The sequence below is a fragment of the Homo sapiens genome, chromosome 13 (assembly GCF_000001405.40).
Source record: "Homo sapiens chromosome 13, GRCh38.p14 Primary Assembly".
NCBI lineage: Eukaryota > Metazoa > Chordata > Mammalia > Primates > Hominidae > Homo > Homo sapiens.
Window position 1 is genome coordinate 113,214,472 of NC_000013.11, and position 25,156 is coordinate 113,239,627.

Below are 25,156 nucleotides of genomic sequence, written 5' to 3' on the forward strand. Positions count from 1 at the left end.
TGGTTTTTTTGTTTTTTGTTGCACAAAAACAAACCTCTCAGGCCCTTTAAAAAAAAAGAGAGAGAGAGGTGTGGCCTCCCTATGTTGTCCAGGCTCCTTGGGAACTCCTGGACTCAAACAGTCCTCCTGCCTTGGCCTCCCGAAGTGCTGGGATTCCAGGCGTGAGCCATTGCACCCGGCTGACATGCAAGTTCTGAGGAAAGCCAGGCTGTCTTTCTTGAGTCACGGAGTAGTTGTCTTCATGACATGTTGATACCAGGTGATAATGGTCAGTGAAAGAGAGAGGTTAGTCCTTTGTATTAGGTGGCATCCTTCCCTCACACCCAAGCTGCAGGCCCAGCGTAGGAATGGGACCTCCACAGCCACACAGGTCTCATCCTGTGTGGCTGTGAAGGTCGCTATATGACTCTGGAGGTAGCTATGTGACTATGGAGGTCTCGTCCCGTGTGGCTGTGGAGGTCGCTGTGTGACTGTGGAGGTCACGTCCCATGTGGCTGTGGACATCTTGTCTGTGTGGCTGTGGAGGTTGCTGTGTGACTATGGAGGTCTCGTCCTTTGTGGCTGTGGACGTCTTGTCTATGTGACTGTGGAGGTTGCTGTGTGACTGTGGAGGTCGCGTCCCGTGTGGCTGTGGAGGTCACTGTGTGACCATGGAAGTCGCGTTCCGTGTGGCTGTGGAGGTCGCTGTGTGACTATGGAGGTCTCTCTCGTCCGTGTGGCTATGGAGGTCTGTGTGGGAGTATGGAGGTCACATCCCGTGTGGCTGTGGAGGTCGCTGTGTGACTGTGGAGGTTGCTGTGTGACTATGGAGGTCGCTATGTGACTATGGAGGTCGCTGTGTGACTATGGAGGTCTCATCCATGTGGCTGTGGAGGTCTCTGTGACCATGGAGGTCACGTCGCATGTGGCCGTGGAGGTCGCTGTGTGACTATGGAGGTCACGTCCCATGTGGCTGTGGAGGTCGCTGTGTGACCATGGAGGTTACTGTGTGCCTATGGAGGTCGCTATGTGACTATGGAGGTTGTTGTGTGACTATGGAGGTCTCGTCCATGTGGCTGTGGAGGTCTCTTTGTGACTATGGAGGTCACGTCCCATGTGGCCGTGGAGGTCTCTGCGTGACTGTGGAGGTCACGTCCCGTGTGGCTGTGGAGATCTCTGTGTGACTATGGAGGTTTCATCCATGTGGCTCTGAAGGTCTCTGTGTGACTATGGAGGTCGCGTCCCATGTGGCTGTGGAGGTCGCTGTGTGGCTATGGAGGTCGCGTCCCGTGTGGCTGTAGAGGTCGCTGTGTGACTATGGAGGTCTCGTCTGTGTGGCTGTGGAGGTCGCTGTGTGACTATGGAGGTCGCGTCCCATGTGGCTGTGGAGGTCGCTGTGTGACTATGGAGGTCTCGTCCGTGTGGCTGTGGAGGTCGCGTGTGTGACTATGGAGGTCTCGTCCATGTGGCTGTGGCGGTCTCTGTGTGACTATGGAGGTCTCGTCTGTGTGGCTGTGGAGGTCTTTGGGTGACTATGGTGGTCACGTCCCATGGTCCCATGTGGCTGTGGAGGTCGTGTGTGACTATGGAGGTCTCGTCCACGTGGCTGTGGAGGTCTTTGTGTGACTATGGAGGTCACGTCCCATGTGGCTGTGGAGGTCGCTGTGTGACTATGGAGGTCTCATCTGTGTGGCTGTGGAGGTCTTTGTGTGACTATGGAGGTCACGTCCCATGTGGCTGTGGAGGTCTCTGTGTGACTATGGAGGTCATGTCCCACAGCTCCATGGCCTTCCTTGTTCTGTCTTCCACATCTGAGAGCAGGGATTGCCCTTATCCGCAGTGAGCATTTTGTTTAAGTAGCAGTGAGTTCACTCCAGGCAATGCTTTGACACTATAAATAGACGTGTATTTGACATTCACACACGTGTCTGTTGAGCTAATACAGACAATCATTTGATGAACCTGCTAGTTAGGAAGTAGCTGTGATGTGAGAAGAGACAGTGCTGGCTGTAGATATACACCAAATTTCCTCACTTGGCTGTTGATACAAGGAAAGCATCTTGATACTAATAGGAGTAGAATGCAAATGATACTTCTCTACCTCCGATCATTGGATTACATTCCTTTTCTCTGGGGTGAATCTTTAAAATGCTAATGGCCTGAGTGCACCAACATGAAGCACACAGTACCATCTGATTAGTTGCTTTATGCATCCAGAGAGGGTATTTCTAAATCTCAAAGTATGATTGAGTGTCAAAAATCCATTTGGGGGAGGGGCAACTCCTGTGTTGTGCTGCTTCTATAACAGCACAAAAAAGTCTTCCAGTATGTTCCTGCCAGCAAGGAGTTGGCAGGGCGGGGAGAAACAAAGGCTGTCGCCTTTCCAGTGATGAGTGCCTGTAATATGAAGCCGGGAGTCCTGACTCAGCACCTACAGCAAACCTGGGTTACCCAGGGCTTGCCACTTGTTTTGAGAGGTTCTTAAATTCTTAATTTTAAAAACAAAGTAAATTGCAGTATGACTCATATGAATAGTAAATGTGCACCAAATAGGACACATAGGAGGCAGAGTGGGTTATAAAATATTTAGTCATTTGCCACAACCAGGAAAAGATGGTTTTAAGGATATTGGTTCTTGGTCTAGGAATTAAAACATCCAGAAAATGGTCCTAAGTTACTGTTGATTTTTGCTGAAGAAAATACATTTTCTTCATGTGTTATATAAAAAACTTACTTTGTAATAATTATGTTTGTGGGATTCACTAATGTTTAACTACTGGAGCAAAACCTTTGTCGTAAAGTTCTCTTGGTTGTTTGAGGAGACAAAAGGATGGCAGATCTTTGACCAAATTATGAAGATATGGAATTCAAAGGGATGGAATTGAAGAGTTTGAGAAAGGAGTTAAAGTAAATACAGAATGTGGGTAGGAATTCCGTTTCTATAGTAAGACAAAATGTAGGGGGAAAGTTTGTATTTCTTTGTTATTATGCTGATAATAAGCTTGCTAGAAAACAGGATTATAATTAAAAACAGGATTATAATTATTCCACATCCTCTTTTGATCTTTGTAAATATGCATGTATTTTATATGGTAGTAATCACTGTATGTATTTAACTTTGGTTAATATGTAGCAGCTCTCCGATATTTAGTATTGGAATTATTAATACTTGTGTAAGTATTAGTAAAATGAATAGCTTTATAACTTTAATTTACCTTTTTTCCTAGGGGTATATTGTATCCTAATTAAATTCAGATTATTTATCTAAAGTGTTTTTATTCTGTATATCCCCACATTTTTCGAACCCCACATTGGTTCAAAACTTGTTAGAAAAACCATATTTCTGTTTATAATATTTCATATTGGAATTGAATGAGTTTAAGTTTTTGTACCTAAGATTGGAAAGGAAATTTTATTAGAACTGGTAAGAATGTACAAGCATTGTTTCTTTGAGGTGAGTAAAAATATTGTGAGAAAAAATTTTCTGCTTCAAAAAATGGTGTCAGCTGGGCACGGTGGCTCATGCCTGTAATCCCAGCACTGTGGGAGGCCGAGGCGGACAAATCACCTGAGGTCAGGCGTTTGAGACCGGCCTGGCCAACATGGCGAAACCCCTCCTCTACTGAAAATACAAAAATTAACCTGTGCGTGGTGGCAGGTGCCTATAATCCCAGCTACTCGGGAGGCTGAGGCAGGAGAATCGCTTGAACCCGGGAGGTGGAGGTTGCAGTGAGCCAAGATCCTGCCTTTGCACTCCAGCCTGGGTGACAGAGCAAGACTCCAACTCAAAAAAAAAAGATTTCTTCTTGTATTAGGGGTGTTCACAGAATAAAAAAGAAAGTTTATTAATTAAACAAACTGAAGTGAATTACACATCTAGCCTGCAGAAAAATAAATAGGAAACAATACAGTCTGGCCTGTGTCACCCAGAAAAAGCTCAGTTTGGATTGAATCACTGCCCTGGGGAGTGTGAGGGGAAGGCCCAGCCTGTTGTTCTCCTTCCTGATGGGAAGGTGGTCACTGAGGGAAAAGATTTTCTTGGTTCTCTAGCCCTGATTTCACTTTGTAATCATCAAGGTGAACTTAAACACAAACACACTCCAGTGACCCCCATCTCAGACTGAGGAATCGGAGCACCCGGAAACAGGCCTGTGAGGATCAAACCTGTTGAGAAGTCCCAAGTGACTGGGCACCATAGATGCTCAGGAGTGGTGCAGGCCAGCTGCCTGGGACCCGAGGTCCAGCAGGTGCAATGTGCCCACATTAACTGTTGTTACCTCTACCCCCATGCCAACTATGACTGGACTGCAGTGTTCCAACGAGAAGTGCCCTAAACTTAGCCATAATAAGTAATTTATTTGTAGATTCCTGAAGTACTGGGGTAGGGTGTGGGGTGCCTTTTTCTTATGATTACAGCTATGTTAACAATAGGGTTTTTTTATGAACCAATCTGTTGTTCATACTGAAGAATTGATGTAGCCCTTTTGTTTGCAGGCTGTGGAAAATCTCTGTTCTCACAAAGTCTCCCCAATGCTCTACAAGCAACTGCGTCAGGCCTGTGAAGACCACGTCCAGGCACAGATCCTTCCGTTTAGAGAATATCCTTTTTTTGGTTCATAAAGTTTCTATTCATTATCTAAGTCTTTTAAAACTGAACATTATTATGATAAAGAGCTAATGAGTATCCTTAATATTAAAACAACAGCTTTTAAAGTTCTCTTTTATTTGATAGGTTTGTAAGCGAAATTTACCATTTAAATTATTTTGCTGATTTGAATTAAAGGGAAACCGTGTTCATTTATTGGGTATGGTTGAAGTATTTAGGAAATGTTCTGAAAAATGTCTTCAAGTTTGAGTATCCTTTATTCTAATAAACACCATCTGCATTGGCTTTCTGTGATAGGCAACAAAGTCCCATCGACTTGGCGACTTATGGAGACACCCACTTATCAGCGCACAGTTGTGTCTGTCAGGAGGCCAGGCAGGATTCAGTGGATTCTATGCTCAGTCTCACGGGCAGAGTCAAGGTGTCAGCCAGGTTGGGGCCTCACCTGAGGTCTTTGCTAGCACGGGCAGGCAGTTGGCGGAAGCCAGTTCCTGTGGTAGTGGGACTGAGGGCCCTGCCTTCTGTCCCGTGTTGCTTGGTGTCACTCTCAGCTCCACATGCACAGGTCCTTGCCTCTCCTCTCACAGCACGACTCTTTTCTGCTTCTAGACCAGCAGGAGAATCTGCCTGTCTGACCTGCTGAGATAGGGCCTTATATGATGTAACCCGTAACCCAGTCAAGGAATGATGACCTTCGTATTCACAGCCTCGTTCACAGTTGCGTGTGAGGCATCCTCCACGTGGGGACAGGGCAGGAGCATCTCAGAATTCTGCTGCCACACCAGCTGTGACTCAGACGTCTACAGGGGAGTCTCTGGGCTCCTTGGCATCCTATAGAAAATCCTTTAATCTGGACTCAATCTCATTCCCCAGCCTCCTCCCAGTACTGTAGCTGTCCATGTGTCTCATTGGGTAGGAATTAGAAAGTAGAGTTTATAATTGCAGAAAATCTACTTGTGGCTGTACTTTTCTAGGCCTCCGTTTCTTCATGTGTAAAATTAGGTGGTTTGTGTTTGCTTATTTCTAAGTGTTCTTCTAGTTCAAGGAAACTTCTGCTCCCCCATCTCCCTGATCTTGGGAAACTAAACCATTCTGAGTTCATTGGAAGGGTCCTCAGGGAATCTGCAGCAGTTGGTGCTGCTGAAGTTGAAGCACGTGACAGGGAAGCTGAAATGCAGGGTGAGAGGTCTCTGTTTAGACAATCTCCACAGCACCCCGCACAGATGTGAGTGAAGTCGGTTCCAGCTCTGTTGTGCTGGCTTCTGTAAATACGCCTCTGCAGTGTTTTCCAGCAAAGCCCTTTCCTAAAGATCATGAGGTCGTTCAAGAGATCAGTGACCGCACACCACCTTTTGGAACCTGGCCAAAGTGCACCTTATCTCAGGAGGCGCCTGTGAGGGCGCACAGAAGCAGGCCCCGCCCCAGTGCCACGGCTCAGCAATGCGCTTCCAGGAACCTACGTTCCAGATGTTTCCATCCAAAAAGCGGCCTGACTCCTAGGCTTGGGGGAAGTCTTTAGCAGATGCCCAAGCCTTCTCCCAAAGACTTAGGCGTTTATGAGAGTCAGTAGGCGGTGATTGTTCCTACTCTAGTTGCTGTCCCAATTTACTTGAAAACGACTATCTGATTACCTGATCAAATGAATCTTTTGCCAGTTACTCCTACTCTGTGGGTTGACTAATGTGCCATCAGTTCACTCACTGCACAAGCACTTGCTTTCTACCTACTGCACTGGCACCGCAAAATGGAAAGTGACCCCCATGCCTGATTTCTACCCTCCAAGAAGTCGCAGGCTTATGGGAGAGGCAGGGGAATTACTGTATTTCCCTGGTGCAGTGGCAAAACTGTGATTACAAAAATTATCATTTGGTTCATTAAAGGCAAAAGAAAAAAACACTACCGTATTAAATGCCCTTATTAGTCATGAGACAAGATCTTGAGTTGAGAACTGCGCGTCAGGCCAGGAATGGTGGCATGTGAAGCATCTGGGGCAGAGCCTCCCAGAGGAGACCCTCCTGAAGGGATGGGGAGGATGCGCCCTCCTGTGGCTGTGGCACCAGAAGCAGAGCGTGGAGGGTGCTCTGGAAACCCCGAGCAGCGGGCACAACTAGAACTCCAGAGACCTGGTGGCCCTTAGGCTGTGATGCTAAGTTGCAGACTGAATTTGAATCTTTGTGGATACTACCAAGGAGTCAGACTTCAGTCTGTGAGTATCCCAGAGTCCTCACAGGTTTTTTAAGCAAGAAACCAGAATTAGATTGTTCATGGAGGTCACTCTGGCAGAATGATGGGATAAGTTTACATATAGACCAGCACACCACAGCCTTCCATTGGGTCGGCACATGTTTTTAAGTATCTGTCATGTGCTAGGTATGATGCCAGGCCCTGGGAAAATAAATCTGAGCAGAATGGGATTCTGTCCCTTTGGAGCTTAAACCCGAATGGCGGTGGCAAAAGCATCAGGATAAGCATTTATGCAGTGCTGTGATAAGGGTTTTTTTTGTTTTGTTTTTTTGTGTTATTTATTTATTTATTTTTGTGAGATGGAGTCTTGCTCTGTCACCCAGGCTAGAGTGCAGTGGCACGATCTCGGCTCACTGCACCTCTCCCTCCTGGGTTCAAGCCATTCTCCTGCCTCGGCCTTTCCAGTAGCTGGGATTACAGGCGCCCACCACCATGCTCGGCTAATTTTTGTATTTTTAGTAGAGACGGGGTTTCACCACATTGGCCAGGCTGGTCTCGAACTCCTGACCTCGTGATCCACCTGCCTCAGCCTCCCAAAGTGCTGGGATTACAGGCGTGAGCCACCGCGTCTGGCCTGTGATAAGGGTTTTCAAAGGTTCAGATAAGCTCCTGGGACCTAAAGAAAGAGCAGCTAGCCCACCTGTGTAGGGGAGCATTGCAGGGGCGAAGCGATGTCTGGGCCATGTCCTAAAGGATGGATGAGGAAGTGGCAGGCGCTGTGGGATGCCAAGGTGGCACAGGCCAGGGAGCAGCGTGGGCAGCCCTGGCGCTGAGGAAGCTTACTGGGCAGAAGAGCCAGGTATGCTGCTGGGTGTGGGAGAGTTGACCACTGACAGGATCCCTAAAGGGGAAAATGAGAGGAAGGTGGATGCTGAATTGTGGAGGAGCCTTTGTTGAACCAAGAGGTTGAGGTTTATCTGAAGGTGGAGATTGAGCCAAGGTGTTCAGGCACAGCATGGCTGGGTTATGTTGGTAAGAAGTTAGTGTGCCTGTGTGTGTGCACTGTGGTGTGAGGGGTCACACCACAATGGTTTGACTGGGCAGCAAAACCACAGGGTGGAATGGCAGCATCCTGCCAGCAAACCTCTTATGGTTAGAGGGAAAGGATCTGACTGCTGTGGAAGGATGAACCAGACACGGATTGAGGCGGGGAGGGTCTGTCGTGGTCACGTTGATTTGGAAGGAGGAGACACGGATTGAGGCGGGGAGGGTCTGTCGTGGTCATGTTGATTTGGAAGGAGGTGAGGAGGCACTCAGGTAGAGATGCCTGTTGTGCATTTGGGGCTGGAGACACAGATCCAGTGGCTCCAGACATGGATGAGATGCCCAGGAAAAATGAGCAGAGTGGCCAGACACAGTGGCTCACGCCTCTAACCTTAGCACTGCATTTTGGGAGGCCAAGTTGGGAGGGCCAGTTGAGCCCAAGAGTTCAAGAGCAGCCTAGACGACAATTAGCCGGGTGTGTGGTTCACACCTGTGGTCCCAGCTACTCTGGAGGCTGAGGTGGGAGGATTGCACGAGCCCAGGAGGCCGAGGCTGCAGTGAGCTGAGATTGCGCCACTGCACTCCAGCCTGAGCAGCAGAGCAAGACCCCCATCTCTAAAAAGAAAATGAGCAGAGCCATGAGAGGAGGTGGATGAGGGCTGCTGTCAGGAAGATGAGAGGAGAACCTGGAGAGTCATCTTGTGGGAATCGAGGGGCGAGTTTAATATGGCAGGCGGCTTAGTGACCAGTAAGTAGAGTCTGAGGGGATGATGAGACCAGGAAGTGGCTGGTTACTGTGATGAAGGCTTTTAGGCTACATTCGTACGTTAACCTAGTAAACATGGGGTGTTTCTGTCCAACTCAGCACTGTGCGTTGGGGACCAGGGACAGGCATGAATGGCACGGGTCCTGCTCTCAAAAAGCTTGTTTTTGCTGGAAGAGAGTTCTGACCCAGCCCAGTCTCACCTGGGGAAATGTTAATGTGATGGCAGATGCTGAGATACTGTGTGGCAGGGAGTATTCCAAGGTCTGCATATTCAGATTTCTTTTGCCTCTGGGATATTCCAGTACTTCAAGTAACTCTACTTTCTAAGATTTAAGTAATTTGTTGTTGTTGTTGTTGTTTTGAGACGGAGTTTCGCTCTTAATTGCCCAGGCTAGTGTGCAATGGCGCAATCTTGGCTCACCGCAACAACCTCCACTCCTGGGTTCAAGCGATTCTCTTGTCTCAGCCTCCCGAGTAGCTGGGATTACAGGAATGCGCCACCACGCCTGGCTAATTTTGTATTTTTAGTAGAAACGGGGTTTCTCCACATTGGTCAGGCTGGTCTCGAATTTGCGATCTTGGATTATCTGCCTGCTTCGACCTCCCAAAGTGTTGGGATTACAGGCGTGAGCCACCATGCCCGGCCAGATTTAAGTAATGTTATGTACCGATTATATTTTGATTGTATGCTGATATTAGATTATAGATGAAACCCATCAGATGTGCAGGTAGAAAAAGGGCTTTTGTGGAATTGAGTCATTCACTACCATCTTCTTCGTTTACCACATCCGTTTTCTTGTCTCACATGTTTGATAAATTCTGCACTTAGCTGTCCGTTTCAAAATAGATAGCTGCTCTTGGTGACGTCCCTTCCTCAAAATAAAGGCCATTTGTACCCTTGCACTCATACACATGCTCAGCCACAGGCAGCTGCTGCAGAACCCACACCACATGCTGCAGGACCACGTGCCACCCAGCCAAGCTACGTGGGCAACAGGAGCTCTTCAAAAATGTCAAGCCCGCAGAGTGCGGTGGCTCACGCCTGTAATCCCAGTACTTTGGGAGGCCAAGGTGGGCGGATCATGAGGTCAGGAGATCGAGACCATCCTGGCTAACACGGTGAAACCCCGTCTCTACTGAAAATACAAAAAAATTAGCCGGGCGTGGTGGCGGGCACCTGTAGTCCCAGCTACTCGGGAGGCTGAGGCAGGAGAATGGCATGAACCCGGGAGGCAGATCTTGCAGTGAGCCGAGATCGCACCACTGCACTCCAGCCTGGGTGACAGAGCGAGACTCCATCTCAAAAAAAAAAAAATGTCAAGCCAACTGTCCTCAGAATCTAACCTGTAGATAACTATAGATGAAACTCACATTTTCCTTCCCCTGGTTCACCTTGACAGCATTGCAGCTCTGGTCAGCCACAGAATGCCAGGCAGTGGTGGACACCATGATAGCCGTGTGGTCAGAAGGGAAGGGCACGGGAGTGAGCTGGGAACCTTGGCTGTTGGGGAAGTTGCAAAGCTCCAGTTTCCTCTAAGTGTGCCTTTATGATCCGCACTGGCGACAGCAGGCTTTGTCTTTCCTTAGAAAGACTTTGTGCCTGTTCTCACTTGACCAGATATCGTGTACGGAGCACTTGCTGGCAGTAGGCCAAGCTCTGCACATTCATGAATTGCTTTGTCTCACAACACCCTGAGCCGTAGGTATCTTTATTGACCATATTTTCCAGATGAAGAGACGAAAGCCCAAGAGAACCCTGTTAATGCTCGGCCAGATCAGAGGAGACAAAACAAGCACCCCTGCCTTCATGGGTTGTGTGGATGAATGAGGGTCGGCCTAGGGCTGTCCCCTCGCGGTCTGTCCGGTCTGTCGGTACAGGCAGCAGATGGGCCACTTGTTCCTGGAATTGCAGAAGCAGATAACCAAGTGTAGAAAATGTATGTATCCCTCTTCTACCCCAACAGAAGCACCGTCTTTTTGCTTTTTCTTTTTTTTTTTAGTTACAGATATGATAGGTAGGTTTTTTTCTATGGTGTAAGCATTTCTGCTGTTGGATTTTGTTTGCTGTTTGAAGACCTGCCTAACTCGTCTCAGTAGGCTGTATAAATCGTTTAATGAAGATTGGCCCTTTTCTGAAGTGAGAAAAAGGATGGTTGCTGAAGAACCTATCTCGAGAATACACTATTGACAGACTCACGGTGTCTGTGTGTCTCACATCCTGGAATTACTTGCACACCATTGTGGCTATGTGTTATATCCCAGAATATGGAATTGATTTTGATGTTTAGAAGGCCAAAGCTTACTTAGTAAATGCCACACTGATTTTAGCTTACCATTTTGTAGTTTTTTTCTGTGGGAAATAACAAAAAAATTATTGATTGAGGATCTATATTGATTTTACAGAGCTATTTTAGAGGAAGTATTTCTCATTTAATGAACACTTTACATTGGACTTTCCATCTTAACAAGACACTGCCCCAGGTGGAACTCTGTCTTCACAACACCTGAGCTGCCCAGTGGTGTCAGATTGACTGGTGTCAGTTTAACCCCGTTAAGTTTAAAGGATCTGTGCACCCTCATCTGGAAGCAAAGCTCCGCCTTCGGCTGCTGTGGCCCGCCTGCCCGCAGAGAGGCTTGCTGGGAGGTCCAGGCCGCAGTTCCCGTCCAGCTCCTGGAGTCAGAGCTGCAGGATGGCTGTTGGGGGTCCTTGAAGCCTGTCCAGATGCACTTGGGATGGGTTTTTTTGTTTTGTCCAGACTGTTTCTGTAGATTCCTAATATAATGAGCCATTATAATTTTGAACAATTTGTAAAGAGTACTTCCAGAGGAACCTGTTAACCATTCAACCATTAGGTCTTTGCTGTAAGTGTCTGTTTTTAATTTTCTGGCAGTGCTTCTGAGAATTCTGCAAAGCCTCAAGAAAAAATAGAGTAAGCTGTCTTAGCCAGGCCCCTGTAGCTTTGGTCACAGCACTTCCTGGTGTGACAAGGACTCAGACCCCCCGGGAGCCCCTTGGCTATCCTCAGCACTGTTTATTCCTCCTCAGGCTCTGCCTGGCACCCTACCCTCCCTGGCACTCTTTCTTTGTCAGGCCACTCGTTGCCACCCTGAGACTCCAGCTCATGTCTGATTTGTGCATCCTACTTAACTGATGTGTTTTTCCTCCTCTCTGTGTGTGAGGATGTTGTCACCACCTCACATTGGCTCTTGAGTGTGAAGTGTCTTGCTGCACGGCAGAAACAGACCTAGAGAAGTCCCTTGGTTTGGCCAGTATTGTGTTGCTGACAGGCGGTGGATCAAGAGTTAAAATGTAGGAAGTCCATGTTCTGTCCCCTTTGACAAGCCATTTTCTTAATCTGTACAAAGGGAACAATGTCTGCACCACGAGGTTGGGGAGATTTTCAGTGAGAGTGGATGTGAAGAGTGTTTCGTAAACCATAAAGCAGTTTATTGTCATTGATGATTCTCAGCTTTGCATGAACCTGAGGGACACCAGACCACTTGCTCTAGGAGCCCATATTCTGGGTTCTTTGTCCTAAACTACTTTTTGGGCCTTTTCCTAAAAATACACATTCTAAGAGTCAAGGTAAGAGTGTTCCTAATTTGGTGCATGGATGAGAGTTCATGTTAGTTTTCATTGAGGCTGGAAGTTAAACCTGAGCCATTTTCCTGTCCAGCTGCACTTTGCCACAGGCTGGGCACACTGGCTCATACCTGTAATCCTAGCACTTTGGGAGACTGAGGAGGATTACTTAAGACCACGTGTTCAAGACCAGCCTAGGAGTATAGTGAGGTGCCATCTCTTTTAATTTTTAAAAAATAGTCCTAGTGACTCTTACCAGGCCAGTCACCATCTCCAGGAGCCCCCCTGTGGGAGTATGTTCAGTGTCTGCCCTTTGTGAAGTGGGGCCTTTTGTCCCGCCACCTACCCCCAGGGCACTTAAGGCCTGGGTGTGTTTCTGCCGGCAGGGACTTGAAGGTGTCTGGCAGTGAAGGAAGGAGAGGATGAAGGGAGGCTGGAGAGGGAGTGGCGAGCGGCCAGAGGCAGGCGGGGCCGTGGGAAGGGAAAGCAGCACAGGCAAGCTGAGTGCACATTGGTGATGAGATACAGAGATCCATGATTGAACTTCTAGTGTATCTTAGCCCACTGGGGCTGCCATGACAAAACACCATAGAGTGTGGCTCATCAACAGCAGGAGTCTGTTGCTCACAGCTCTGGAGGCTGGAGGTCCAGGGTCAAGGCACTGGCAGATTGCATGTCTGGTGGGGCCCCGCTTCCTGGTCCATAGCCAGCACCTTCTCACTGCATCCTTATGTGGTGGAAGAGGCAGGGGAGCTCTCTGGGGTCTCTTTTGTAACCCCATTCTTGAGGCTTGTCCACTCTCATGACCTAATCACCTCCCAGAGGCCCTGCCTCCTAACACCATTACCGTAGAGTGAGAGCTTCAGCCTATGAATTTTGGGGGGACATGAACATTCAAGACTAATATTCTTTCAGTATTCCAGTTACTGAATGGTGTGTAGTATTCAGTGGAGAAGGTAGCTGAAATTAAGGGGTTAAAATTGTAATAATGGCCGGTTGCGGTGGCTCACGCCTGTAATCCCGGCACTTTGGGAGGCTGAGGCCAGTGGATCACAAGGTCAGGAGTTCGAGATCAGCCTGACCAACATGGTGAAACCCCGTCTCTACTAAAAATACAAAAAATTAGCTGGGCGTGGTGGCACACGCCTGTAATCCCAGCTACTCAAGAGGCTGAGGCAGGAGAATCGCTTGAACCTGGGAGGCAGAGGCTGCACTGCTGAGCTAAGATCGTGCCACTGCACTCCAGCCTGGGCGACAGAGCGAGACTCCATCTCAAAAAAAAAAAAAAAGGTAATAATTAAATTGGCCAGCATTTTTAAAGTTTTCCTTAGCAGATCTGTACAGACTCACTAGATAGTGTTTTATTTTTAAAGAAGATTAACACGTGCTGGCAGGACCACTGCAGACAAATGGTAAGCTTGTTCACTTTTTCATCAAAACACGACCTCATCCATCTTCCCTCACCCACATGATTGAGAGCTGAGACATAGAAGTTCTGTTGAGGATTCTGTCTGTGTTCAGTGCTGTGGTTGAACAGCACGATGAGAAAAGCAGGGAAGGTGAACTCCTCAGCTCCTGTGAGAGGGCACCACTGACCCTCTTGGCCTTCAGGTCCACAGTCACAGTCCGCAGTGGTGACAGGGTTCTTAGATGCCTGCATGGGTCTCTAAATGTCTCTTTAAGCACAGTTTACTCCTCAGAATCTAGCCTGAATCCCAGGTCTTTCCTGCAGCTGCACAACCAGCGTCTTAGGCTTTGTAGATGTCTTGGCTTTGACTTGACGTCATGTATACATTTTTAGTGTGACCTGGCCGTTAATTACTTAAGTGAGAGAACAGACCGTATTAATAGCTTTCCTAAGTAGGTTGAAATCTTCCGTTTTCTAAATGATATCAGTAGGAGACGATGGGTGTATTTCTTTTCTGGGCCAGGTAGCTGGCAGCTGCTAGAGCTCGCTGAGGGTCTGTTGGGAAGGGTTTGGTGAGATGCGTTCACAAGTCTCCCCAGCCAGGTAGTGGGCTCGATGGTAGGAGCACAGGACAGGACCAGGGATCATCCTGCATCCCTCACTCTGCTCGCAACGCAGAGTCAGAGACACACGTCCAAGAGCCTCATCATGTAACAGGAACTCAGGTTTTAAAAGCTAAGTGCATCTCCCTAATCTAGTAAGAAGTAGCACATCAGTCAAAAAAATGACCAAATTTAGGCCGGGCGCGGTGGCTCACGCCTGTAATCCCAGCTCTTTGGGAGGCCGAGGCGGGCGGATCACGAGGTCAGGAGATCGAGACCATCCTGGCTAACACGGTGAAACCACGTCTCTACTGAAAATACAAAAAAAAAAAAAATTAACCGGGTGGGGTGGTGGGCGCCTGTAGTCCCAGCTACTCGGGAGGCTGAGGCAGGAGAATGGTGTGAACCCAGGAGGCGGAGCTTGCACATCACGCCACCGCACTCCAGCCTGGGCGACAGAGCGAGACTCCGTCTCAAGACAAAAAAAAGAAAAATGACCAAATTTAAAAGATATCCTTTAGGCCTTGGCTGAACACAGGATCTCTTTAAAAAGAAAAAAAAGATACCATTTTAGGCTAAGTGCGTTAAAATTCCTACAGTCAGATTTACAATATTAAAGAGATGGAAATCACATACCAAGGGGACAAAATTAACTTTAGAAAAAAAAAATAAAACATGAGGGCTGTGGTGGACAGGAAACAGCTGTTGGATTTGAGACAGCTAGCATGGAGTTAAAAGGCCTGATCTTTCATATTTTGCTAGTAGAATTCATAAGTAAATGGTTCTCCTTTCTGCTGGTCAGATCATGATCAGAAGCATCTTCCTGTTCTTGGACCGCACCTATGTGCTGCAGAACTCCACGCTGCCCTCCATCTGGTGAGTGTCCTCACAGCGCAGAGCTGCGTCTTCCCTGCAGCTGATGCTTTTCGTCCCGTTTGTGTCTTCCGCAGGCTAAGATGGTAAAGTGTGTGTGATTACTTGTGCCTTCCTTTCTTCAGCCAAAATCATTAACGTGAACGTAGGAGTCCAGGTGGGTCTTAGCCTTGAAACACCAGGTGTCTAGCCAGCAGCAAGGAGTGGAGCAGGAAGCTCGGACAGGCGGCTGACTTTGGTCATGAGGGTGAAGACAGAGGGTCTTGGTTTCTCTCTGACGACTGGAGGTTGAGCCTGGAGCGGCTCTTTCCAGCGCTGCAGTTGAAACTCGGAGAAAGACTGCCTGCTGCCCGTGGGGTCGCAGCCCTGAGGCTGTGCGTCCCCTGTGGAATGGCTTGCTCAGCCTCCCGGCCTCCTGAGCACATAGCACTCATCGTCCGTCATCTTTCGGGGACTGTATACACCAGGGGTTCTGGGGCCTTTCCTCAGCAGCGTTCGCGGCCACGGACCCCACATGTCCTCTGCTGACCCCTGTGTGTCCTCTGTGGCCACCCCATGGCGCTGAATCCTGCCGCCTCCTGCAAGCCGACTTTGGACAAAAGCTGTGTCCGGTCTCACCGTCTGATTTGTCTTGTTCTCTGTTAATGTAGTGTTTCATTCTTCTCACATTCATACATAAAAGTGATGTCGTGCCTTCTCATGAGCTTTAAACCCAAGTTCTTTAAAATGTGCCTGCTTTTCCTACCCCACCCACTGGGCACGCTGACCCAAGGCAATGTGATTTCTGCTTTCGCCATGTAGAGATTGCTCTTGTCTGAGATGTCGGTGACCTGCCAGTTACCAAATCCAGCAAGCATTTTTGTCCTTATTTTATACAACATCTATACAATTTTGGACACCCTGTCCTTGTTGAAGCTCCCATTAATGCCATTTGCCCTTCTAACTTCCTCATGGAACTCCCAAACATCTCCTAGTAGGCATCCATGTGGTCTACGAGAAGGCAAACGCTGCACAGAAAAGACAGCCTGTGTTCCAGGAAAGAATGGAGATGATAAAAGTGATCATAGCAGATTATTTAGCATTTGCTCTGTGCAAGGGACTGTTTCCTACTAATGTATTTAATCCCTAGAGCAGCTCTGTGGCGTGGCCATTGTCACTCCTATTTTATACAAACTAAGGCACATAAGTTAAAATAACTTGCCCTACCTCAGTTGTCTGGCCCATAGTCTAAATGCTTTTCAAAAATTATTATTATTATTATTATTATTTTTAGAGACAGGGTCTCACTCTGTTACCCAGGCTGGAGTGCAGTGGCACAATCATAACTCACTGCAGCCTCAAACTCCTGGGCTCAAGTGATCTTCCTGCGTTGGCCTCCCCTGTAGCTGGGACTATAGGCACGCACCACCACATTCGACTAACTTCTAAAAATTTTTTGTAGTGCCAGGATCTTGCTATGTTGCCCAGGCTGGTCTCGAACCCCTGGCCTCAAGCGATCCTCCCACCTCAGCCTCCCAAAGTGCTGGAATTACAGGTGTGAACCACCATGCCCAACACTAAACTCTTAATTTATAAACATAGTTTATACCATAACTGTCATACAAACTATAAACATTGTTTATAAAATAGAATAAATGATACCACCTCCAGTCTACCACAAGTGGCTAAAAACCTGAACGTGAGCATCATTACAAGAAGAATCCTGGTTGAGGTGTGTGTGGGCAATGCATGGTGAGGAGATACTTTGTCCATCTCTGGGATGGGGAGGAGGGCTGAGGGTGAACCTTGGCCTGTGCTTTGAAGAATGAGCAAAGGTGGTCAGGCAGCTAAGAAAGAAAGAGTAGAAGGAAGCAGTAAGTTCAAAGCCGAGTATCTCCTGCTAGTGATGGCTAGGACGGCAGCATGACCAGAAGAAGCCTGTGTGGGGAGTGGGAGGTGGGGAGGGATAGAGCTGATGAGGGCCCTGAAGGGTTTTTCAGCTGAGGTTGATGTTTTAAAGAGAAGATCCCAGTGGCAGGGTAGAGAGTCACACAAGTGGAGACCTAAGCCTTCCTAAGCACTGGCTACCTGCCTGGCACTGCCCCAAGGGCTTCAGAGGCAGGAACTAATAACATTTGATCCCCATTTTAACAGTTCAGGAAGGAAAGGCACAGAGACATTAAGCTTCTCACCCAGGGTCACACAGCTAGCAAGTAGTAGGGCCAGGATTCAAACCCAGGCAGCTGCCTCGAGCCCACAAGTCTGGCCACTGCACCTTCCTGCTCCAACTGTGGTGAAGTGCACAGAAGACCTGGTGTGCAGCACACGCGGGAGCAACAGGAGAGGCCCATGGTGATGTGGGCAGTCAAGGGAGGTGCACGTCTCCACCATTGAGGTGGCTCCCAGGGCCCTCTGCACACCTGTGTGGCACCCACCACTGCGGCTGCTGCCACCACTGCCACCATAATATTATTAATAATACTACCACCACCACCCGCCTACCACTGTTACTACTGCCACCACCACCACCACCATTACTGCTGCCACCACTACCCGCCCACCACCATTACTGTCACCACTACCCGCCCACCACCATTACTGTCACCACTACCCGCCCACCACCATTACTGTCACCACTACCCGCCCACCACCATTACTGCTGCCACCACTACCCGCCCACCACCATTACTGCTGCCACCACTACCCGCCCACCACCATTACTGCTGCCACCACTACCCGCCCACCACCATTACTGCTGCCACCACTACCCGCCCACCACTATTACTGCTGCCACCACTACCCGCCCACCACTATTACTGCTGCTGCCACCACCAGTATTACTGTCACCGCCACCACCGCTATTACTACTGCCACCACCACCTGTCCACCACTATATTACTGCTGCCACCACCACCACTATTACTATTACTGCCACCACCAGCACCACTCCTGCCCTGATGTGCCAATTCCGGATTTCTGGCTGGAGCCCAGCATCTGTATTTTTGGCCCCTCCTTAATGGCGTACTTGGCCACTGGGGACAGTAGGAGTGTTGAAGCAAAGCACAGAGCCCACAAGATGGGTTTTGTGGACAGCCACTGGCAGCTGAACCATCTTCCTAACATTCCTCAGGCCATGAGCTGAGGACTGCGATGAACTCTGAAAGCTGTGCATCACCTTCTCTTCTCAGGGGAAAGCAGCAAACATTTGGTAGGAGAGCTCCCAGGGCTTGGAGAAGGGAAGCTGCTGGGACGTGCTCAGCAGAGGACACTGGGAAGAGAGTGTACCCTGAGGGCTGTTGGAGACGGTGGCGGGAGGGGCAGGTGGGGCAGGCAGGGTCGTGGTGCCCAACTGCCTGAGTGTCTCCCGTCGCTCAGCAGGAAGGTGGCGAGGACCCCGGGCTTCTGCCAGCAGCTTGTGTGATACCAGTTTTACTGTCAGTGGCATGCATGACCTAGCAGCGTCTCCAGGAACGTGGAGCAGCTCTGTTTAAGGAAGGAAATACAAGGCGCGCTAGACTGGCTGAGAAACAGAAGTTTTTAAAAGGAATTCTTGGCACCTAGATGTAGAGAATTAGCAACTTCACATTTTTGGGATGATATTGAATAGCATAGCTGGAGATTCACCCATAACTTCTAAAAAGCGAAACTAAAATGTAGTCCTGTTTCTTACTGTCTATACAGGGATATGGGATTAGAACTGTTTAGAACCCATATTATTAGTGATAAAATGGTTCAGAGTAAAACCATTGATGGAATCCTACTGCTGATCGAGCGCGAGAGGAGCGGCGAGGCCGTGGACCGGAGCCTGTTGCGGAGCCTCCTGGGCATGCTGTCTGACCTGCAGGTGAGTGCTGCCTGTGCGGAAGATACCTGGGTACCTGCCCAGCTACTTGCACCAGAATAAATGGTTGTACCAAAGATGTTAAACAATGAAATCATAAAGGCATTTGTTGAAGATAGGAGAGTCTTTAAAATCCCTAGAAGGGGAATAGCGCTCAAGCTAACACCACACCAGGTGCCACAAAAGAGAAGATAGATCAATATCACTACATAAAATGCACGGATAGATCAATATCACTACATAAAATGCACGTTTTTCATGGAAAATATAAACAGAGACAAAGCCAGATGACACGCTGGGGGAAAATATTAGCAACACACACAAAAGACAAAGGGCGAAGTTCTTTAGAGCAATAGGACCCCAAGGCACTATAGGAAGAGAACAGAGGAGGGCCTGCCCGGCCGTTTTGGGAAGGACAGTGCAGCCGGCCGGCTGGGTGGCCACAGGCGCCTCCAAGTTCAGGTCATGGCAGCCTGCCCCGTCAGAAACTGGGATGTGTTAGCACTTGTGAAGATAGTTTCCTTTACTGAAATTGGTCAGTAACTCTGCTTGTTTCTTAGGTGTATAAAGATTCATTTGAACTGAAATTTTTGGAAGAGACTAATTGCTTATATGCTGCCGAAGGCCAAAGGTTAATGCAGGAAAGAGAGGTGAGATGATGGGATGTTTCCGAATCCCCTGGCTTCGTTTCTGCAGATGAGCACCTAGGAGGACTTTCCTCATGTTTGCCTTTTCACACACATGCAAATGTTTCATTGAAAATCTTCTGAAAGCTGCAATCTTGCCAGAATCCCCAGTAATGAGCTTCGTTCTTAGTATACTAAGAATTTAGTTTATGTGAACTTAGAAACTATTGCACTCCCCCCACAAGTAAAAAGCTGTAAGATCATTTCTGAAATAATTAAAATAACTCAAATTTAAGCAAGATGATAAAAACATACATGAAAACTTAAAAATATAAATGTAAATGATAAAATTTTTCATTTGTGTGAAGCACTGCAAAAAATTTTCCCAAAAAAAGCTGTGCGAAAAAACATGTAGTAGTAATAGGAACCCAAAAAACTTAATCACCTTTCCAGATACCAGAGCAAAATCATAAAGGAACCTGCCCCATAGACTGTCACCCAAATGGTGCGTGCTACTGCCAGAATGGACCTTAGCCATTGGTTCCTTCATTCTGGCTTTGCAGAGGAAGTTTCATGTCAGATACTGAGCCCAGCTGCAGCTACCCCAGCAGAGCCTCAGGCCTTTCCCGCACTGTCTTGGGAAACATGGGCGTACTTTGAGGTCTCCTGCAACCGTGTTGTTTGGTGTCCCCCAAATGAACAACCACCTTGTTGACTTGCTTTTGCTGACCCAGCTGTGCGGGGCAGGGTTGCCATTTAGCACCTCATCCTCCTACCAAGTGAGGCTCAGCTCCCTGTGGGCCCTGGGGATGGGAGGAGGGTGTGCACAGACCCCGAAACTTGGTGGTGCACAGGGACGAAAGAGAAGTGCAGCCTGGGCCCTGTTGTAGGATGGATGTTAATATCAGCGTCCTTTCTCCATGTCCCCCACACACATTTCCGTCCTACCTCTCCCTCCCTGTTAATCTGTGTTAATATTTGGCTTGAATATGTATTCTGCTTTTTAAAAAAATTACATGTAAGGAAAACAAAATCTCAATTTCTTGGATAGTGTCGACATTCTTTTTGTTACTGATACATTTAATTGTTTTGTTTGTAAGGTTCCAGAATATCTTAACCATGTAAGTAAACGCTTAGAGGAAGAGGGAGACAGAGTAATCACTTACTTGGACCACAGCACACAGTAAGTACCGTTTGCTCGCTGAGCGTTCGTATCTTCACCATGGCTGGAAGGTTCTCCTGGCTGGTTATTGAAATAAAGGGTGTCTTTGTCAATTCATTCAGTACTAAGAGTGTTTTTGCACCTAGCATATTTTACTTTGTTATTTGTCATTATTTGGCATTCACAAATTACAGTTTTTACCCAGTGCCTTGTCATGAGTTACGTCTAAAGAGAGTAAATCTTGCTGAGATACTTGGCATCTTTGAGTTTTGAGACGGTCTATTTATGTTAATGGAGTATCACTGAATATTAGGTTATTTTGATTGTGCATTCTCTGTTACACATTTTATATCGCTTTAATTTTATTTATGGTGCTGTCACACAATTTTCTCTTTTCATCTTATGTTTTTTTCCTGCAAACCTGAGGTTGATGAGTAGCTAGGGAAACAAAAAGGGAGAGATTATGTGAGCGTGTGTGTCAGGCACAGTGTGTCCATATGATGGGAGGCAAGGACAGAGGCAGAGGGGACAGCAAGGGAGAGAAATGAAAATGATACAGTGTGCAGCTGGGCGCGGTGGCTCAGGCCTGTAATCCCAGCACTTTGGGAGGCTGAGGTGGGCAGATCACAAAGTCAGGAGATCGAGACCATCCTGACCAACATGGTGAAACCCCGTCTCTACTAACAATACAAAAAAATTAGCCGGGCGTGGTGGCGGGAACCTATAGTCCCAGCTACTTGGGAGGCTGAGGCAGGAGAATGGCATGAGCCCGGGAGGCAGAGCTTGCAGTGAGCCGAGATCACGCCACTGCACTCCAGCCTGGGCGACAGAGCGAGACTCCGTCTCAAAAAAAAAAAAAAAAGAAAATGATACAGTGTGCAGAACTGGACCCAGTAGGGAATGATAAAATGTACAGATGTGCAGAACAGGACTTGGTAGGACTCAGCAGAGAAAACAGGAGGAGAGATGAAAATGATATGGTGTGCAGAACTGGACTCAGTAAGGTGCGGAAAGGGGAAGGATTCTGACAGAATCCAGCACAAAAACAGAGAGGGTGCAGAAAAAGAGATTTGGTCACTTAGACGTGTGGAGTTGGAGGAGCCTGTGGGAAATCCAGGATCTCGAGGCAGGCCAGGGTGGCTCGGGGGCCATGTTGTGCTTCCTTCCAACTGGGAGCAGAAGAGCAGCCCCCGGGAGACTGGGAAGCAGCAGCCAGGGAAGTCCGGGGGAAATAGTGGAGAGAGCGGCAGCCACAGCGAAGCCCCACAACCAGGGTGTGCAGGTCACACACAGCTTCCCTGAGCCCTTTCTGCCTGTGTAGGAAGCAGAAGGCGGAATGTCGGCTCTGCCCTTCTCCGTAAGATGGTGCATTAAAACGTTCCTTATAAACTGGAAATGAAGGCTTGGGAAGATGGCTAAAATCAGCAATCCTTGGAATAACGCAGAAGCATCCCTGCTTCCCTGGGCCCGCCCGTGGGCCTGCTTGTGCTGTTCAGTAGGTGGTTTTTAGAAAGGGCTTCCTTCAGCGTCATTAGCAACAGGAGTCGTCGTCCGTTTGCATGAGGAAATGTTCTTAACCTTCCGTTTCTGATTGCCTCTAGACTGCATCTGTCATAGACAAATGCCCCCATCTTTTGCAGAGAACCAGTCTCTTCTTTAAACTTTACTTCTAACGCTTATTCTTTTTACCTTATATAGGAAACCACTGATTGCTTGTGTGGAGAAACAGCTATTAGGAGAACATTTAACAGCAATTCTGCAGAAAGGTAGATTTCCTAACTCTTGTGCAAATTAAACTGAACAATTATCCTTAGTTCATTAGGAAAGTAAAGGGGGCATTACAAATAGCAGTGTTAGGACGTTTGTTATTTTCATAAGACAGTCATTAAAAATCTTTTCTAATGAACATGTTAGCCATCCACGGGAGAAAAAAAAATCAGTAAGAGAAATAATGGAAGGCACCTAGTGGAACTACATTCACTGCTAAAACCCCAGTGGCAGGAAGGCCCGGCAGACCTTCTGTACCACACTCATGCTGAAACATGGGTGCAGTGAGCCTGTTGCAGCTCTCTGAGCAGACTCATTTCCTGTGTCCGGCCGTTCTTCATGCACACTCGGATGTAGGGGACTCGGGGAGCTGTTCGGGCTGTTAGATTTTCGTGAGGCTTCCCTCACCTGCGGACTTCGTGCATCTTAGTGTCAGATGAACTACCGACTAGGTGGTCTGCTTAAGCAGAGTATACTTTTCTCCTGGTTTTCTGGAAGAGAAGAGCATGTGTTCTAGTGCTGACGGCGCGGCCTTCACGTCCGCTTCTCCCCAAGTGGTGGCAGTACCTGGCCATAGGAAGGTGGCTTCTAGCAGCCTGCACCTTTAAAATTGATGCTGATGTCTTACCTCGATCTTTGTTTATTGCTGTTTTTTCTAGGCTTCAAAGTGTGCTGAATTCTATGAAAATTACAATGAGCAGTCTAACCTTTGTAACACTTTAGTACTTACTGGCACATTTCACTGTTACCATTTGAAACAATGTTACCTTCTGAAAGTCATTTTAAATGTATTTGGAAAATACGAGACTTTTTTCAAGCCATTGGAAACCTTAAAGTTTAATTTTGAGAAGGCCCTAAATGGTATTCAAATATATTCTGCTTTGGGTTCTACATTGTCAGATAATAGTATTATGGCTAATGAGATACTTAAGTGAAACCAGAATAAAACCAAAAGGGAGGAGAATTAACATGATTGAGCATCTCCTGTTACAAACAACTCCACTTGATGTGAATATCTTTTCAAGCAATTCTGTGAAATCATTATCCCCATTCTACAAATAAGAAAACCAGGGCTTAAAACAGCCAGATGTTGGTGCCTGGAATCACATTGCTTGTGAGCTGAGAGTCACGGGTCCAATCTGGTTATGATGTTTCTGCTTATTCCACACTGAAACCTACACATCACCTATCCACCTAAAAACAAATGCATTCAGAATTTGTGTCAGGTGTTTTTATGAAAGGAGTCACTTTATAAGAAAAAAGGCCAGGCATAGTGGCCCATACCTGTGACATCAGCACTTTGGGAGGCCAAAGTATCACTTTGGATCACTTGAGCCCAAGAATTCACGACCAGCCTGGGCAACAAAGAGAGACCCTGTCTCTACCAAAAAAATAAAAATAAAATTTTTTTTTAAAGCCACAGGTGGTGCATGCCTAGGGTACCAGCTACTCAGGAGGGTGAGGTGGGAGGATCACTTTGGCCCAGGGGGTTAAGGCTACAAAACTACAAAAACCTGGGTGACAAAGCAAGAGACCTGTCTCAAAAAAAAAAGAGAAAAAAGATTTCAAGTAAATAGTAGAAATTTGCATAAATTGTTCCAGTGCATACTTTGTTAAGCAAAATTATTTAAAGAAAATGGTAAATTATATATGTAAAAGCTTACCCTAAATTTTATTAGAAATATTTTAAAAATTAAAAAGATACTTTTGAATTCTTAAGACATGGGTTTTAGTAAAATAAAGTATAAAAAGTTTGTGTCAGTAGATCAGAATGTAATTGAGAGAAATAAACATTTGGAGCTCTAGGTGAGGATTGTAATTATAGCCCCACCATGTGTTTGCGCACAGCTTTAAACCTCCTCGTTTGTGTGAACATCGTGCCCAGTGTAGGCAGAATCTGAGACTTTGTGAATTGTATGACTGTTCACCATTTTATGCTTTAACCTGGCTGCCTCTCAGTAGTTATCATAAAGCAAGTATTTAGAAAATCTATGAGAGTTTTTCTCATTGAGGTATGGTTTCAGAAAACCGTTATAAATATTAAAAATCTAAAACACTGAAAGCTTTTTTAAATGCTGTGTTAAACACTTCAAAATATCCGATGATGTTTTTCTCTTATAGTTTACTATAGGTGTGAATAAATTTAATCCACTATAAATTAGATTTGATAGCTTGTCCTTTTACATTGTCTGGCCGATGGACTAAATCAGAAGTAGATTGAGAACATGAACCTCCCAGGTTAAATAGTTGGTGTAAACTGGATTTTCTGACTTGCTAACTTAAGTGAAATAAGAGGGCTTCAATGACATAAAGAAGTAAATAATACATCTTCCAACATACTCAGAGAAAATGAGGTTCACCTAATAGGATCCATCTCACATATTTAACCAGATCAACCTGCTCATGTAGAGGCAGCGATGTGGAGACCCGCCCAATTTCTAAGCGGTGTATTGACGTTCTTCTGGTGCACGCTGTATTCTAGTTGAGTTGTTGTTAATGCTGCCCATGCTGTACTCTGCTGACGTGTACTGCACATCTCAGGGCTCGACCACTTACTGGATGAGAACAGAGTGCCGGACCTCGCACAGATGTACCAGCTGTTCAGCCGGGTGAGGGGCGGGCAGCAGGCGCTGCTGCAGCACTGGAGCGAGTACATCAAGGTACTGGCGGGGTTTTGAGGCCGCGGGCGTGGGCATTCCCTGCAGGGAGCAGAGCCCCTCCTGAGAACGCCTAGTG

At 47.2% G+C, this 25,156-nt stretch overlaps 1 protein-coding gene across 11 annotated transcripts in view, besides 2 other annotated features; it reads left to right on the top strand.

The window, feature by feature from the left end:
* Positions 1-25,156, top strand: part of CUL4A (cullin 4A) — a 58,916-nt gene that overhangs the window by 6,279 nt on the left and 27,481 nt on the right. For 6 of the 11 annotated variants that reach the window (NM_001278513.3, NM_001354938.2, NM_003589.4 and 3 more), the window contains exons 3-10: positions 4,474-4,577; positions 13,505-13,574; positions 14,975-15,048; positions 18,706-18,868; positions 19,426-19,515; positions 20,592-20,674; positions 22,352-22,419; positions 24,962-25,080. In NM_001278513.3, the coding sequence (NP_001265442.1) occupies positions 4,510-4,577; positions 13,505-13,574; positions 14,975-15,048; positions 18,706-18,868; positions 19,426-19,515; positions 20,592-20,674; positions 22,352-22,419; positions 24,962-25,080 (735 nt within the window). In that variant the 5' untranslated portion in view covers positions 4,474-4,509. Of the gene's footprint in view, positions 1-4,473; positions 4,578-13,504; positions 13,575-14,974; positions 15,049-15,170; positions 15,749-18,681; positions 18,869-19,425; positions 19,516-20,591; positions 20,675-22,351; positions 22,420-24,961; positions 25,081-25,156 lie in introns of those variants that run through there. The other 5 variants (NM_001354944.2, NM_001354943.2, NM_001278514.3 and 2 more) reach the window with 4 other exon arrangements.
* Positions 5,938-6,501: an enhancer, noted in NCBI's record as "H3K27ac-H3K4me1 hESC enhancer chr13:113874723-113875286 (GRCh37/hg19 assembly coordinates)". NCBI's record gives its function as "activates a minimal SCP1, AML or CMV promoter by ChIP-STARR-seq in naive H9 embryonic stem cells {active_cell/tissue: H9 hESC(naive)}" and the evidence as "EXISTENCE:reporter gene assay evidence [ECO:0000049][PMID:30033119]".
* Positions 7,922-8,771: an enhancer, noted in NCBI's record as "H3K27ac-H3K4me1 hESC enhancer chr13:113876707-113877556 (GRCh37/hg19 assembly coordinates)". NCBI's record gives its function as "activates a minimal SCP1, AML or CMV promoter by ChIP-STARR-seq in naive H9 embryonic stem cells {active_cell/tissue: H9 hESC(naive)}" and the evidence as "EXISTENCE:reporter gene assay evidence [ECO:0000049][PMID:30033119]".